The following is a 15,842-nucleotide window of genomic DNA, read 5'->3' on the forward strand; positions in this document are numbered from 1 at the left end:
TGGTAAGCATCCTCTTTCTTTTTTCTTTTTTTTTTTTTTGTTTGTTTGTTTGTTTGTTTGAGATGGAGTCTAGCTCTGTTGCCCAGGCTGGAGTGCAGTGGCGCGATCACGGATTATTGCAACTGTGTCCCAAATTGGTTCCTTCCCGGTGGGTTCTTGGTCTCGCTGACTTCAAGAATGAAGCCGCCGACCCTCACGGTGAGTGTTACAGTTCTTCAAGATGGTGTGTCTGGAGTTTGTTCCTTCAGATGTTCAGATGTGTCCAGAGTTTCTCCCAGTTGGTTTGTGGTCTCGCTGGCTTCAGGAGTGAAGCTGCAGACCTTCGCGGTGAGTGTAACAGCTCTTAAAGGTGGCGCGTCCAGAGTTGTTTATTCCTCCCGGTGGGTTCGTGATCTCGCTGGCTTCCGGAATGAAACTGCAGACCTTCGCGGTGAGTGTTACAGCTCATAACAGTAGTGCAGACCCAAGGAGTGAGTAGCAGCAAGATTTATTGTGAAGAGCGAAAGAACAAAGCTTCCACAGCCTGGAAGATGTCCCGAGCAGGTTGCCACTGTTGGCTCCAGTGGCTTGCTTTTAGTCCCTTATTTGGCGCCACACACATCCTGCTGATTGGTCCATTTTACAGAGAACTGATTGGTGCATTTACAATCCTTTAGCTACACACAAAAGTTCTCCAATTCCCCACCTGATTCTCTAGACACAGAATGCTGATTGGTGCATTTACAAGCCTTCAGCTAGACACAGTGCTGCTTGGTGCATTTACAATCCTTTAGCCAGACACAAAAGTTCTCCAAGTCCCCACCCCATTAGCTAGACACAGAGTGCTGACTGGTGTGTTTACAAACCTTTGGCTAGACACAGAGTGCTGATTGGTGAATTTACAATCCTTTAGCTAAACACAAAAGTTCTCCAAGTCCCCACCCGACTCAGAAGCCCAGAGGGCTTCACCTCTCACAACCTCTGCCTCCCAGGTTCAAGCGATTCTCCTGCCTCAGCCTCCCCAGTAGCTGGGATTACAGGCGCCCACCACCATGCCCAGCTAACTTTTCTACTTTTAGTAGAGACGGGGTTTCACTATGTTGGCCAGGCTGGTCTTGAACTCCTAACCTCAGGTGATTCACCTGCCTCACCCTCCCAAAGTACTGGGATTACAAGCGTGAGCCACGGCGCCCGGCCAAGCATCCTCTTTCTAAGTCACTCACCCATGAGTATGAATTGTTTGCCCAGATTGCTTCACTCCATTGTAGCTGATTTCAACCCAGTTGTAAGCCTGGAGCACCTGGAGAAATCAGACCCAGGTGGGATCTCAAAGGTGGAGAGGGTGGGAAAGGAGCAAAAGAAAGAGAAGGGGTGCAGAAAGGGAGGGACACAGATTCCAAAGACATACCTGGCCTGTCTGAAGTTTGCCTCCTCCAGGAAGGGAAGGCAGCATTCTCCCGGTGCTGTCTCCCTCCTCCCCCGTGTACTGTGCACATCTCCTTCCCAGACTCAGCCCAGTTGCACCAAAAGCAAGCCACAAGGCCCATAGGCTAGTCAGACGCCCAACAACCCCACACAATGACACTTATGTGGGGAATTGTGTCCTGAGACCCAAACGACTGACCCCCCAATGTGCTGTGAATAAGCAGTGACCACAACCAGTACCACCTATGACTGAGTCGGGGGCTGCTCTCTAAGAACCCCAGCTGCATGCCCTCTGGGACAAATCAGGCCACCTGGGGCTCCTTCACATCTCTCCAATGCTGTGTTAAACGCACTTTTAACCAACTTTGTCAAAATGCTCAGCTGGTAAAGTTTTAACGTAGGCCCTTGTCAATGCTTCAGAAATAAGCCTCTGGCGGCGCGACAGAGCAAAACTCCGTCAGGAAAGTAAGGAAAGAAAGGAAAGGAAGGAAGGAGGGAAGGAAGGAAGGAAAGAGAGAAAGAGAAAGAAGGAAAGAAAGGAAAGAAAAGAAAGGAAACAAAGGAAAAGAAAACAAATAAGCTTCCAGGTCATTGCTTAGAAAGAAAAAGAAAGAAAAAAAAAGAAAAGAAAAAAGAAAGAAAAAAGCCTCCCGGTCATTGCTCCTCTCTCTCTCTGCGGGTCCATCCCCATGGCACCCTCCCCCCTCCCCATGGTGCAAAGTTATAGTGGAAAGTGCCTCAGCTGGAAAGATCTCAGAATGTGGCTTAGGGCAGCCACAATCTTATCAGGAGCTTCTCTGTTTGGGATCAGGGGAACCGGTGACTTTCAGAGGCCGATAAGGCGGGACCCAACTTGTATATAAGGGGCAGCTCATGCTGCTGCTCTGCACCTTCCTCCCGTCTTGCCTTCTCCCTCGAGTTGGGACCCGGGAAGAACCATGAAGTGGCTGCTGCTGCTGGGTCTGGTGGCACTCTCTGAGTGCATCATGTACAAGTGAGTCCGGGTGGTGTGGGTGTGAAGACGCTGCCTCCCACATCACCTTTCTTTCCTCCCGTGTCTTCCTTCTTCCCTTTTTTCTCCCTCTCTATTCAGCTGTCTCCATCCCCCTTTTCCGCCTCTCTCTCTGCCTTTTTGGGAGGCAGCCCTGCAGACATGGTTAAAACTCGGGCCCAGCCTGACTGTGGTTCCCAGCTCCAGCCCTAGTCAGCTTAACTTCTTTGCATTATGGGGCAGAAGTGGGAGCTTCTCCCTTCCTTCCATCTTCCTCTCTTAGATCAGCTGGTTAAGAGTCCAGCCTGGGTTTGGCTCCCAGCTCCAGCACTAGTCAACTTAACTTCTTTGCATTGTTGGGCAGAAGAGGGGGCGTCTCCTTTCCTTCCTTCTTCCTCTCTTAGACCAGCTTCCCTTCCCTTCTGGGGCTGCCACAGCACCCGGTCAGCAGAATCCTTGCCTAATTCCTCTTCCTTCTCCAAACCACAGGGTCCCCCTCATCAGAAAGAAGTCCTTGAGGCGCACCCTGTCCGAGCGTGGCCTGCTGAAGGACTTCCTGAAGAAGCACAACCTCAACCCAGCCAGAAAGTACTTCCCCCAGTGGAAGGCTCCCACCCTGGTAGATGAACAGCCCCTGGAGAACTACCTGGATGTGAGTGTGCGGGCAAGTGGTGGGGCCAGCTCTGAGGACTTGGCCCGCAGGAAAGAGGGTGTCCCAGGGGTCTTGGAGGACGGGCCTGGGCTCTGTGGCTCCAGGCAGTGACCCAGAGTCTGCCCCCTAGATGTCAGTGGCCCAGGGCAGGCAGGAAAGCTCACAGTCAGAGTTCATTCATTCATTCGTTCACTCGTTCATGCAATGTTAATTTCTCTGAGCGCCTCATTCTATTTCAGGGCCTGTGCTGGGCTCAGGGGGAGACAGCAGTGAGCAAACTCATAGCCTAGGAGACAAACACAGTCATCAAGGGGTCTCGCAAAGCAATGAAAGGAACAGGCAGCAGGAGGACTACAGAGTGACGGTGTCACACTGCGAGAGTCTGCCACTTGGGCAGGGAGCCTCCCTGGAGCCACGCAGGAAGAGCGGCAGTTTCCAAGACAACAAGACAGAACTCCGCATAGCCTGATCCCTTGTGCCAAACCCTGTAGCAGGCGGGAGCACAGTGCCTTTGAAGGGGAGCCGAGAGGGAGGGAAGAAGGGTGCTGCAGACTGCGGTCCGAGGAGCCGAGGGGTGGACGCAGAGAGGCTCCATCCTAACTGCCTCTGATTTATCTTAAACAGGGGTGTGACAAGATCAGATCTGAGTTTCAGAAAGATCACCCTGACTTTATTATTTGAGATCCGATAGCAAACACCCTGCCCTCCTGCAGATATTGTATGTCCCCTCTGTGACTGGCACAGGGCACAGGGCACAAAGCAGTGATGCCCGTGGTTCAGAGACTGGCCTCTGCCATCCAGCAGACCTGGTGCAAATATGGGTCCTAGTGCCTCTAAGCCACAGGACCTTGGCCAAGTCATTTAAATACTCTGAGCCTGTGTCTTGGTCTGGAAAACAGAACCACTAATATCTACCGTCAGAGGATGTTGCCAGGAATTAACACGATCATGTTTTCTGGAGTGCTTAGCATGGGGTCTGCCAGGCCCTTGGTAAGAGGCTTAATTAGCGCATTTATTTAGTTCACAAATATTTAACAAATATTGGCACCTCTCTATGTGCCAGAGGCTATGCAAGTTGCCAAAATGATGGTGAATAATCAAAGTTCCTGGAGCTTATACTCTAAAGGGGATGACAAATAAACAACCATGTAAGAGAATTTCAGATAATGATGAGGACCATGACAAATTAATTAATTGGACTATGGGGAACAAAAAGATTGAGAGGGGGCAAATTTAGATAAAGTGGTCACGGAAGGCCTGTTGGCAGAGGGGACATTTGACTAGAGAGCTGAATGATTGATTTTTGATAAAAGGATCAGCCAAGGAAAGATCTAGAATAAACATTTTCCTAGCACAAGGAATAGCCAGTGCAAAGGCCCTAGGGCAGGAGTGACTGGTCATCGCCAAAGAACAGCAAGCAGACCAGTGTGGCGGGAACAGAGCCGGCAGGGGGAAAATGCTGCCACTAACAAGAAAAATACTGGTTGATTGGCGGAGGCGGGTGGATCACTTGAGGTCAGGAGTTCGAGACCAGCCCGGCAACATGGTGAAACCCCGTCTCTACTAAAAATACAAAAATTTGCCGGGCATGATGGCACACACCTGTAATCTCAGCTACTTGGGAGGTTGAGGCAGGAGAATCACTGGAACCCAGGAGGAGGAGGCTGCAGTGAGCCGAGGTCGCGCCACTGCACTCCCGCCTGGACAACAGAGTGAGACTTGTCTCAAAAAAAAAGAATAAAAATTCTGGCAATGCCCTTTCTCAAAACCTGCTGTACACATCTAGACGTAGAAATAAGAAAACTGGACAGGTTTCCATCTTTAAGTGGCTTGCTTAGCTTCTGATAAACAATTTAAGGCACAAGCACTTAAGCTGTAACTTGCCCGGTGCTAGAAGGTTCCACCGCCATCCTCTGAGAACATGCGCTGTACGGATGGGAAGACTGTGACAGACAAGACAATGGCTAAAGAGGGAACAGCAGATTGTTAGGTGCTTGTGGTGCTTAACAGAGAGCAGAGGGTAAATTGGGGGAGCAATCAGGGAAGACTTCAAGGAGGAAGGGACGCCAGGGCTGGGATTTGAAGGATGAAGACAGTGGCTGGGAAGAGAAAGATAAGAACTGTGAGGAATGAAGGAAAAGATGGAGAGGCAGACTGAGGAGATGACCCAGAGACAGCCCCTAGGGAGGCCCTGACAGAGAGACCCCGTTCCGTGAACTGCCCTGTCCTCGCCTGGACAGATGGAGTACTTCGGCACTATCGGCATCGGAACTCCTGCCCAGGATTTCACCGTCGTCTTTGACACCGGCTCCTCCAACCTGTGGGTGCCCTCAGTCTACTGCTCCAGTCTTGCCTGCAGTAAGTGCCCAGACCGCCCTACCCCACTCTCACTCCCCAGCACCAGCCGACCCTGGGGAACCCTGGACACCCACGGGCTTCAAACAGTTCCCACCTCAAGCCTGCTGGAGCCACTCAACAGGCATTTATTGAGCACCTACTACGTGCCAAGCACTGGGCTCAGGTGCTCCAGGGGGTAAAGGGATGAGTGATATGATCCCTGCGGTCAAAGACTACACAGTCTGAGGGCAGAGAGAAGCTCTCCTCAATAACCACAGGCTGGGAGAGGAAGTATGGGGGGCCCAAAGCAAGACAGGGCCAAAGGGCTGTAGAATAGCCCACCAGGAAAGAGTCCAGTGTGAGAAAATGGCTTCAAAGCCTGGCTAGGACAGGCTAGAGGTCAGTGCTGAGCTCATTTAAAAAAAAAAAAAGAATCATTGGTTTGCTAATGAAAGAGAGTTTGTCTTTGGAAGTCATGAACAATGTGTGTTGCAGGTTCCTTCCTCTTCTAGTGTTTTCACTGGAGTTTTAATGAAGATGAGGTGCCTGTGGCATCATCCACATCATAACGGGAGCACTGGCTGGGGGCTAGAGGGTGAAAGCGCTCGTCACTGGGTAGCCACGGGCCTGCTCCGCTCTATGTTGGTCTGGGGAGGTCTCCAGGAGGCCCTTGGGGTTGGCTGGGGAAACTGCCACCAGTGAATGGTCCCAGTAGTTCAACGAGACAGGACAGAACCTGGGGTCTCTTGGGCTCCAAGGGTCTAGGGCGAAAGGTCACTGCTCACCTCCAGAGCCCGTCCCAGGGCCAGGGCACCCCATCCCAGGAAGACATCCAGCCCATGACCTTCACCCAGCTCTCAGAGAATAACACTCACCGCTTGTCCTTGCAGCCAACCACAACCGCTTCAACCCTGAGGATTCTTCCACCTACCAGTCCACCAGCGAGACAGTCTCCATCACCTACGGCACCGGCAGCATGACAGGCATCCTCGGATACGACACTGTCCAGGTGGGCACCTGCAGGCTGCCGCTGCATCCCCCCATCAGGCACCCCCAAAATAAGCTTATTCCAGCAAGATGAGTCTTGGTGATCACAGAAGTAACCTGATTGGGGGTGCGGGGTGGGGGAGAAGCAGCAGAGATGTCACAGACATTGCTAGCTCGGGTGGCAGTGAGTAAAAGGGTGGGGTGCCAGGAGCCATAACCCAGACTCAGCTCCACCCAAGCAGAATGTTATGGAGTGTGGGGAGAGTCAGTAAAGGCTCACTTCTCTACTAGCACCTCCTCCTCTTCCTTCTTCTCCCGACATGCAGCACCCCAAGTCACGAAATCTCCACAAGCCCTCCCTGCCACTTTCGGGGCATGGCAGGGGTCAAAGGCCTGGGGTCTGGGGTCTGCTTTGCGTTTGTTCATCAGAAACACAAACACACAGTGACCATCTGTTCTCCAGCAAAATCTCACCCTGAGTCATAGACTGTAGCCATCTGGAGATCAGCTGCCATGGTTACCTCCAGCAGAGGAACCAGCATTCCAGCAGACAGTCCCTCTGCCCTCCTCCCGGGCTGATACCCTGGAAGCCAAGTCCTGCATGAGATGAACCAGGGTGGCTCTGGGCCTGAGGCTGGCATCCAGAGCTCAGTGAACATGACCCGATGGTGAACATCATCTCGGTTTCCCCACCCAGGTTGGAGGCATCTCTGACACCAATCAGATCTTCGGCCTGAGCGAGACGGAACCTGGCTCCTTCCTGTATTATGCTCCCTTCGATGGCATCCTGGGGCTGGCCTACCCCAGCATTTCCTCCTCCGGGGCCACACCCGTCTTTGACAACATCTGGAACCAGGGCCTGGTTTCTCAGGACCTCTTCTCTGTCTACCTCAGCGCGTAAGTTGAGTGGAGAGGGGCCTCCTCCCACCTCCCCCTCCAGAGGTCACAGTGTTCCTGCCCAGCAGGAGCTGTCCAAGGCTGGGTGCGATGGAGAGGGTCTTGGGAAGCAAGGGATTTGAAAGTCAATGTCTGAGGCTGGAGAAGTGTGTCTTTGGAGAGTAATAGTGCCAAGTCTGTCTCTGACGGGCCATGTGCACTCCATCTTATTTTACCAGCATCTTTGTCCCCTTGATGTGCACAACTCAAATGTCATCAGCCATTTCCCCCTCAGTACCACTTCCCTCATCCTTGGCCCGCAAAGATGCCATTTAAAGTGAATACACTTGGCCAGGTGTGGTGGCTCATGCCTGTAATCCCAGCACTTTGGGAGTCTGAGGCAGCAGGATCACCTGAAGTCAGGAATTCAAGACTGGGTTTCATGGTGATAGCCAGGATGGTCTCGATCACCTGACTGCCTCAGCCTCCCAAAGTGCTGGGATTACAGGCGTGAGCCACCGTGCCCGGCCCTGGATGACTAATTTCTTCTTGCTGTCTACATTTGCTTCCTCATCTAACCTGAAACTGCAGAAATTTAGAACATGAATATTGCAATAACAAGGACTCCTGCAATTTACCACAGGAAGGCTCTTTGTCATGTATTCTTCTTGGCCAGTTAATGTTCAAGGTGGCTCTGAAACATCATCTGCCTTTATGAGCACTTAAATATTTCATGTGGGGCCATTGCATCTCCCCAGCCAGATCCGAGTTTCTCAATCTGGGCACTATTAACATTTCAGACCAACATAAGAGCTTGCCGCCAGGGACTGTCCCGTGCATTGTAGGATGTTTGGCAGCATCCCCAGCCTCTACCCATGAGATGCCGGCAGCATCCCCTACCCCCACCCAATCATGACAATCCAAAATGTCTCCAGACATTCCCCTGGGGGCAAAACTGCTCCCAGCTAAGAACCAGTGACCTCCACCCTCAAGTCCTTAAGAGCGGACACTGTCATGCATTCACTTCCCTGGGGTCCCCATGGCAACCAGAGTGGGTACCACCATGGAAACCACAGACTCAACCTAAAAGGCCTGTGTTCTTCCAAACGTAGTTCCACCACTCCCCCGCTGTATGACCTTGGGCAGGTGGCCTCACCTCCCTCAGGCTCAGTGTCCTCATGGTAAGTGGAAATAACAGTGACAGTGCCCACTGCATAGGCACTGGCCTAAGAGGAAAAGAAACCACATTAGTCACACCGCAGGACAGCCCTAGAAAGTGCCCAATCAAGGGTAGCCCTGAGGAGGCAACAGCAGATGGTCACACAAATGGACGAACAAAAAAATTCATGTCTTCTCCCCTCACTTTCCACAGCGATGACCAGAGTGGCAGCGTGGTGATCTTTGGTGGCATTGACTCTTCTTACTACACTGGAAGTCTGAACTGGGTGCCTGTTACCGTCGAGGGTTACTGGCAGATCACCGTGGACAGGTGAGACTGCCATGAACGGGCAGCATCCAGGCCTGGGCCCCAGATCCCATTTCCTTATGGATTCATAGCCAATCAGCTTTCCAGAATCCCCCCAGGAACAGCTGGCACAGGGGAACACACTCCAGGGGGAAGGTGGAAGTTGGCCAAGCCAGAGACCCCTAGAAAGACACCTCCCTGCAGGAGGAGGGAAGAGCTGTCTAGGAAGCCAAGACTCTGCAAGGGTGAGATAGCCACTGTCCTCCTAGTCACGGAGGCAGGACCATCCACCAGCATCCCTGGGGAGAGCTGGGGGACCCACCTGTCCACGCATCTGACAATTTAAGGGGCCGGTGAACCAGCACACGCTCCTGCCACTCGAGGAAACATGTCACTTTCCGTCTAGAAGTGGGGCAAAATGGCTAAGAAATTGTGTGAAGTCACTTCATTCCACCCTCCCCTTCAGGGCCTCCCCGGTCTCCCTTGCAGCTTCATTTCCACGCTCTTCTTCCCCAGCTAGCCTGCTAGCGTGCTCAGTGGTGTGGGTTTTCCCAAGAATGAACAATTTCCCAGGACAGAGACTTTCAGTACTAAAACTGGGACCAGCCCAGGCAAACCAGGACACATGGATCACCTCATGTCTGCCCAGCCATGCTAGAATTTCACCAGTTCCTCCAACACCTGCCCCAGCCCTCTGGTCTCTGTACCTCCCCGCATACCATCCCCTGATGATGTCCTCCTTCTCTCTTCACCTGCCTGGCATTCCAGGGTGTCTGTTCCCCTGGCTGCTCCCCTCCACCACCTCTCACCCTGGACCCTGTTTTTGTTCCCTGCCTCATGCCTGACTGATCATCTTGCCCTTCTGCCAACATAACTTATCTTGCCAGCTAGGCAGGGAGCTCCCTGCAGCCTGGAACTGTGAGGCTGTCTTGTTTCACTTGGCATTTCCCATGCCTGGCAGAGAGTAGGCACTTGGGAAATATTTGTTGGGCAAATGAATGCGGGACGAATGAGTGCGTGAACGAGAGGAACAGAAATTTCACGCATTGGCCAATGGATGGGTGGGGAAGAAATGTCTGGGCTCACCTCCTAGTTCCTCCTTGGAGAGAAGTACCCCTGAGAGCTCAGGGAGCTTAACTTGCTTCTTGCCCTCAGCATCACCATGAACGGAGAGGCCATCGCCTGCGCTGAGGGCTGCCAGGCCATTGTTGACACCGGCACCTCTCTGCTGACCGGCCCAACCAGCCCCATTGCCAACATCCAGAGCGACATCGGAGCCAGCGAGAACTCAGATGGCGACGTGAGTCCAGCCCCGACTGCTCTGTTCTACACTCAAGTAGTGGGTGTGCCAGGCAGAAGGGACAGAAACCCTTCTAACTTTTCTCACCCTCACTCTTTCCAGATGGTGGTCAGCTGCTCAGCCATCAGCAGCCTGCCCGACATCGTCTTCACCATCAATGGAGTCCAGTACCCCGTGCCACCCAGTGCCTACATCCTGCAGGTGAGGAGGCTCTGGACCATCCACTAGAGGGGTTCACACAGAATGTGGACACAGAGTTCCCCTCTGCAGACGGAAAGTACACTTCCACGAGCTGAAGCCAAGAGGCAGAGGCAGACGAACATCTGCCCTAGACAGCCTCCAGAGAAAAAGAATATATTAAAAACAAATGCAGGAATAAGAACTCGGATACAGCCCCCTAAGGGAACAAGTGAAGCAAAGGTTAATGGAGTGAAAAGAGGATTCTATTTGGACCCCTGGGTCCAAGTCCTGGGTCTGAATTACTAGCCCATTGATTCTGAACAAATTACAACTCATCTCACCCTCAGTTTTCTCATCCAAAAAGTAGAGATGGCAGCTTTCCCCACCCTCAGAGTGCGGTTAGGTCAACCAAGTGAGACTGATCACATCAGAGCTACCAAGGGTTGGGCAAATGGAAATCCTAATTTCCGTAGGCTGGGGCTTCTGACACTTCTACCATCTCTACCAAGTAGCAAATCTTTAGCTATACGAGCCACAAGAAAACTCTTTCCCTTCTGTTATCATAACGTCAGGTGGAAAACTAATTTTGCCAGTGGACTCATGTTACTCAACAAGAAGCACTGATGCCTGGGCTCCCCCACTGATTCTGATTACATTAGGAGAGGGCAAGGCCTGAGCAATGGGATGGGGCTGCGGGGGTTCAAAGCTCCCCAGGTGATGTGCAGACAAGGTCGCAGCCCAGTGACTTAGTGAGGCAAGAGGGCTAATAGCTCATCTGGTTTGCCTCTGACCGGATCAGAATAATAATGAGAAAAGGCTATGGCGGCAGGGTTTTCAAACTCCTTCCTAGCAGCTGAATTCTCCCTAAGCCCCTTAGCACCAATGCTGATGTCAGGGTTCGTGTGCCTGCCAGAAACACCAGATAATGTCCAGTAATGCGTAGAAACCAGTCGTTCAGTGGACGGCTTCTACAGGCCGACTCCAGGCCAAGAACAGCCGAGTCCCTGGACACTGAGCCAGGAAGCTCCTCCTTGCACGTGCCTTACAGCTGGACCAGGGCGCCCTGGATGTTTATCACCCAGCGCCTATCACGGCTGAATCGGTGTCCCAGCTCCACTTTTATTCTCCTTTTCTCCAGAGCGAGGGGAGCTGCATCAGTGGCTTCCAGGGCATGAACCTCCCCACCGAATCTGGAGAGCTTTGGATCCTGGGTGATGTCTTCATCCGCCAGTACTTTACCGTCTTCGACAGGGCAAACAACCAGGTCGGCCTGGCCCCCGTGGCTTAAGCCTAAGTCTCTTCAGCCACCTCCCAGGAAGATCTGGCCTCTGTCCTGTGCCCACTTTAGATGTATCTAATTCTCCTGACTGTTCTTCCCAGGGGAGTGTGGAGGTCTTGGCCCTGTTCCCTGTCCTACCAATAACGTAGAATAAAAACATAACCCACTGAAACAGGTTTTGTGGAGCTGCTTCTCTTTGCTGGTCTTTTTCCTTCACATTACTGGGGTTAGAACACCAGGGCAGGGATGAAAATGACCACATCCATTTGGATGGCACCCAACATAGTGACCCCAGCAGCTGACACTTCATGATGGAGCCAAGAAGACAGAGAGGCTTCGGGGGTTGTGCTGGAAGCATCATAAAAAGACCTGGGGGTCAAAATACTGGGCTAATTGTCTTCTCATAGAAGGGACACAGAGCTGAGATCGTGCCATTGTACTCCAGCCTGGGCGACACAGAGAGACTCCAGCTCAGAAAGAAAAAAATAGGTCACTGAAGCTCTTAGTTGAGGGAGTCAACCTCCTACTTCTCCCAAAGCCAATAAGAGATCATGAGAAGGCTGGGCACAGTGGCTCACGCCTGTAATCCCAGCACTTTGGGAGGCTGAGGCGGACAGGTCACCTGAGGTCAGGAGTTTGAGACCAGCCTGGCCAACATGGTGAAACCCTGTCTAATAAATTTACAAAAATGAGCTGGGTGTGGTGGTGCGCACCTATAATCCCAGCTACTCAGGAGGCTGAGCCAAGAGATCGCTTGAACCTGGAAGGCGGAGGTTGCAGTGAGCTGAGATCGCACCACTGCACTCCAGCCTGGGCGACAGAGCGAGACTCCATCTCAAAAAAAAACAAAAAAAGAAAAGAGATCATGAGGAAAGGAAAGCAATCAGGAGAGTCACGAGAGGTAGACACTAATGGTGATGTCCCTAAGTAGATAGGACAGGGCAGAGTTGTCTGCAAGACGTGGACAGGAGAAGTGGAAGAAGCTGACACCCCACAGTCTTCCAGGATGCCCTTGTGATTCACTGGCTACCAAGACCAAGACTAACAGTTAATCTCCCCAAGGTCCTAGGCAGAAAACACTGAACCCATCTCTTTCCCCATCTGTAACCAAAGAGAAAGGTCTTCCACTTCCCTGAGCAGAGGTTGTGAGACAGAGAATTAAGCATGTTCATTAGCATATATGCCCTAGAAAGGCAAAGAGGAAATGGAGCAGTTTCTCAGACTGGGCTTGGTAGCAAAATGTTCAATGGAAAACACAGTTTCAGAATAAGTATAGAACATGCTACATTCTAGGCCCTTCCCCAGGGTTCACCAGCTACAGTTCCCAATCAAAGGCTCTGACAAGCCCTGCTGCAAAGTGATCTGTTTCTTTTTAACTCAGCTGAGCTTCATCTCAGACTCTCTCTTGCTAGTAAGTCTATTACAGCCCTGGGCTCCCCGGCATGCATGCTGGGAAAATTCCCATAGCTCCTGCTTCTGGTGACAGCCGACCCAGGCTTTCTGCTGAAGACACAAGCCCAGAGGCTGGAGCTGGGCTCTAGGAAGGGCGGGGGTGAGCTCCAACACCCAGTCTCCCCAGGGTCACTCTCACCCTCCCAAGCCCATTTTCCATAGCTGAATAAACTTTAGGAAACATAAATTTCATCTCATCCCTTCCTTGCTTTAAACTCTTAATGCCTTCTTGCCATTGCCGTTGGAATAAAACAGCAAATCTTTGGCATAGTCCCACGTCCTGTGTGCTCCTTTCCCTCCAAACCTTCCCTGCTTCACTCTGATCCCGTTACCCCGAGCTCCCTCCACCCTGGCCTCCCACGGCCACAATAGCCCAAGTGTTTTCCCACCTCCAGACTTTGCACATGCTGTTCCCTTTGCCAGGGTTGCTTTTCCCTCTTTCTTGACTAGCTAACACCTAGCATCTGCAGACGTGGCTTAAATGTCACTTCTCAGCCAGGCTTGGTGGCTCACGCCTATAATCCCAGCACTTTGGGAGGCCGAGGTGGGCAGATTAACTGAGGTCAGGAATTTGAGACCAGCCTGGCCAACATGGTGAAACCCCATATCCACTAAAAATATACAAAAAATTAGCTGGGTGTGGTGGTGGGCACCTGTAGTCCCAGCTATTTAGGAGGCTGAGGCAGGAGAATCGCTTTAACCCAGGAGGTGGATGTTGCAGTGAGCCGAGATTGCACCACTGGACTCCAGCCTGGGCAACAAGAGCAAAACTCCGTCTCAAAAAAAAAAAAAATGTCACTTCCCTGTAAAAGTGATCAGCCCTCCCTCACCACTCTCTCAGAGAGCCTGGGCCTACATTTTCCCTCATGGTACTTGGCACTACCTATAACCATGCATTTCAGTGTTTAAGATTCACAAGGACAGGGATGGTGATGGTTTTAATTAGGTTTGAAGCCCAAGCAGCAAGAGCCGGGCTTGGCACATACTAGGAGGTCAATAAATATTTGCTGAATGAGTGATTAGAGAAGACTTTTTGAAAGGAACCATCTCAGATAGGATGAGAGTATGAGAGTGGGGATATGGTTTGACAAAGGCCATGTGAATAACAACAGGTGGGTCAGCTCCCACCCCCACCAACATTCCATCCCCGTCATATTCTGTCATGGGATAAGCAGGTGGATTTCTCAAGTTTCTGGGAAGGAATTTCACCCTGTCCTGGCTTCTTTGCTGGATTTATTTTTCTGATATTTCCCATGTACCTACTTTGAAGCTAGGCAGTGTGCTAGGCTCCGGGGATATAGGAAGGCAGGTCTTCCTGGATCCTATCTGTTCTCCTGCACCTGATCCCAGCCTTCCTTCCTCCCCCATCTCAACACCAGCAGCTGCAGCTCAGCCTCTCTCGCCCAGCACCTCTTCCATTCCCACCCTGGGATTCCTGAACCCTGTCACAATCTAAAGACGTTCCTCATCAGACAGATCATTTGACCAGAAAGCCCTGTGCCAACATATCTGATTTCATCCTCCTCATGTTGCTGCACAACAGAAGATGAATTCACAATCCTTTCCTGCAGTCTCAGGCCTCTGCTCCATGCATCCTCCTCGAAGGGCCCTGGGGTCGAAGCACAGCTCCTTCCATCCTTTTCATTCACACTCATCCAGGAGTGTTATTTTAATCTCACAGGTCTCCTGCCCCATCCATCCTCACCTGTCCCAAATGATCACTCCACACGCTGCTGGTGGGAGTGTAAACTGGCACCACCCTAAGAAGCATGATGTGGCTGTATCTATCAAAATTAAAAATGCATATGCCGGCCAGGCACGGTGGCTCACATAATCCTCACGCCTGTAATCCCAGCACTTTGGGAGGCCGAAGCAGGTGGATCACCTGAGGTGAGGAGTTTGAGACCAGCCAGGCCAACATGGTGGAACCTCATCTCCACAAAAAATACAAAATGAGCCGGGCGTGTTGACACATGTCTGTAATTCCCAGCTACTTGGGAGGCTGAGCCAGGAGAATCTCTCGAACCCGGGAGGTGGAGGTTGCAGTGAGCCGAGATGGCACCATTGCACTTCAGCCTGGGCGACACAGCGAGATTCTGTCTCCAAAAAAAAAACAAAGGAATGATAAATGTTCAAGATGATAAATATGCTAATTACTCTGATCTGATCACTAAACATTATATGTACAGAAACATCCTTATGTACCCATAAATATGTACAATTATTACATGTCAATTAAAAAGAAAACAGCCAGGCACAGTAGCTCATGGTGTAACCCCAGCACTTGGGAAGGCCAAGGCGGCAGGACTGCTTCGGGCCATAGTTCAAGACCAGCCTGAGCAACATACCAAGACTTCATTTCTATTGTTTTTAATAAATAAATAAAAGGAAAAGAAAGAAGATGTGTATACAAGAGAACATTCATAGAGCACTGTTCCTAAGAACTCCACACTGGAAGCTACCCAAATGCCTATGAACTGAAAAAGAGAAAATAGCGGGTATATTGATGCAGAGGAATAATACACAGCAATGAAAATGACTGAGTAACAACTCCACACACCGCCATTCGTGGATGCCTCTCCTAAACATGATTTTGAGCAAAGAAGCGCAATGCAAACTAAAGTGCTTGTTATGTGGTACTGCTTAGCAAAAGTACAAAAACAGGTGAAATGAATCTTTGCTGTTTGGAAATCAGAGTAGTGATACGCTTGGTTTGGCCCTAGGATAGTGACTGGGAAGAGCCTGGGGTGGGCTCCAGGGGTACCTGACATGCTCTTTTGCTGGGTCTGGGTTGTGGTTACACGTGTGTGCTTGGTTTGTGAAAATTCATCAAGCTGTTTCTTATGATATGCACCTTTCTGTGTGCATATCATATTTTGAGAAAAGTTTTAAAATGATCATGTAGATTTATAAAAATCA

The 15,842-nt window shown here is 51.1% G+C and overlaps 1 protein-coding gene across 1 annotated transcript; it reads left to right on the forward strand.

The window, feature by feature from the left end:
• The first annotated feature begins 2,292 nt into the window (after nucleotides 1-2,292).
• PGA3 (pepsinogen A3) lies at nucleotides 2,293-11,876 on the forward strand. Its single transcript, NM_001079807.4, has 9 exons — nucleotides 2,293-2,398; nucleotides 2,885-3,047; nucleotides 5,288-5,405; nucleotides 6,275-6,393; nucleotides 7,069-7,268; nucleotides 8,620-8,736; nucleotides 9,868-10,012; nucleotides 10,115-10,213; nucleotides 11,331-11,876. The coding sequence occupies exons 1-9, from the start codon at nucleotides 2,343-2,345 to the stop codon at nucleotides 11,478-11,480; spliced, it is 1,167 nt and encodes a 388-aa protein (NP_001073275.1). The 5' UTR covers nucleotides 2,293-2,342; the 3' UTR covers nucleotides 11,481-11,876.
• The last annotated feature ends 3,966 nt before the right edge of the window (nucleotides 11,877-15,842 follow it).

This window comes from Homo sapiens, chromosome 11, assembly GCF_000001405.40.
Source record: "Homo sapiens chromosome 11, GRCh38.p14 Primary Assembly".
Taxonomy (NCBI): domain Eukaryota; kingdom Metazoa; phylum Chordata; class Mammalia; order Primates; family Hominidae; genus Homo; species Homo sapiens.

Excerpts from the sequence above, each read along its gene's own strand:
- PGA3 (NM_001079807.4), top strand. The coding sequence starts at position 2,343 with ATGAAGTGGCTGCTGCTGCTGGGTCTGGTGGCACTCTCTGAGTGCATC. Across the intron at positions 8,737-9,867 it reads TGGCAGATCACCGTGGACAG|CATCACCATGAACGGAGAGG; the intron begins GTGAGACTGCCA and ends TCTTGCCCTCAG. Across the intron at positions 10,214-11,330 it reads CCAGTGCCTACATCCTGCAG|AGCGAGGGGAGCTGCATCAG; the intron begins GTGAGGAGGCTC and ends CCTTTTCTCCAG.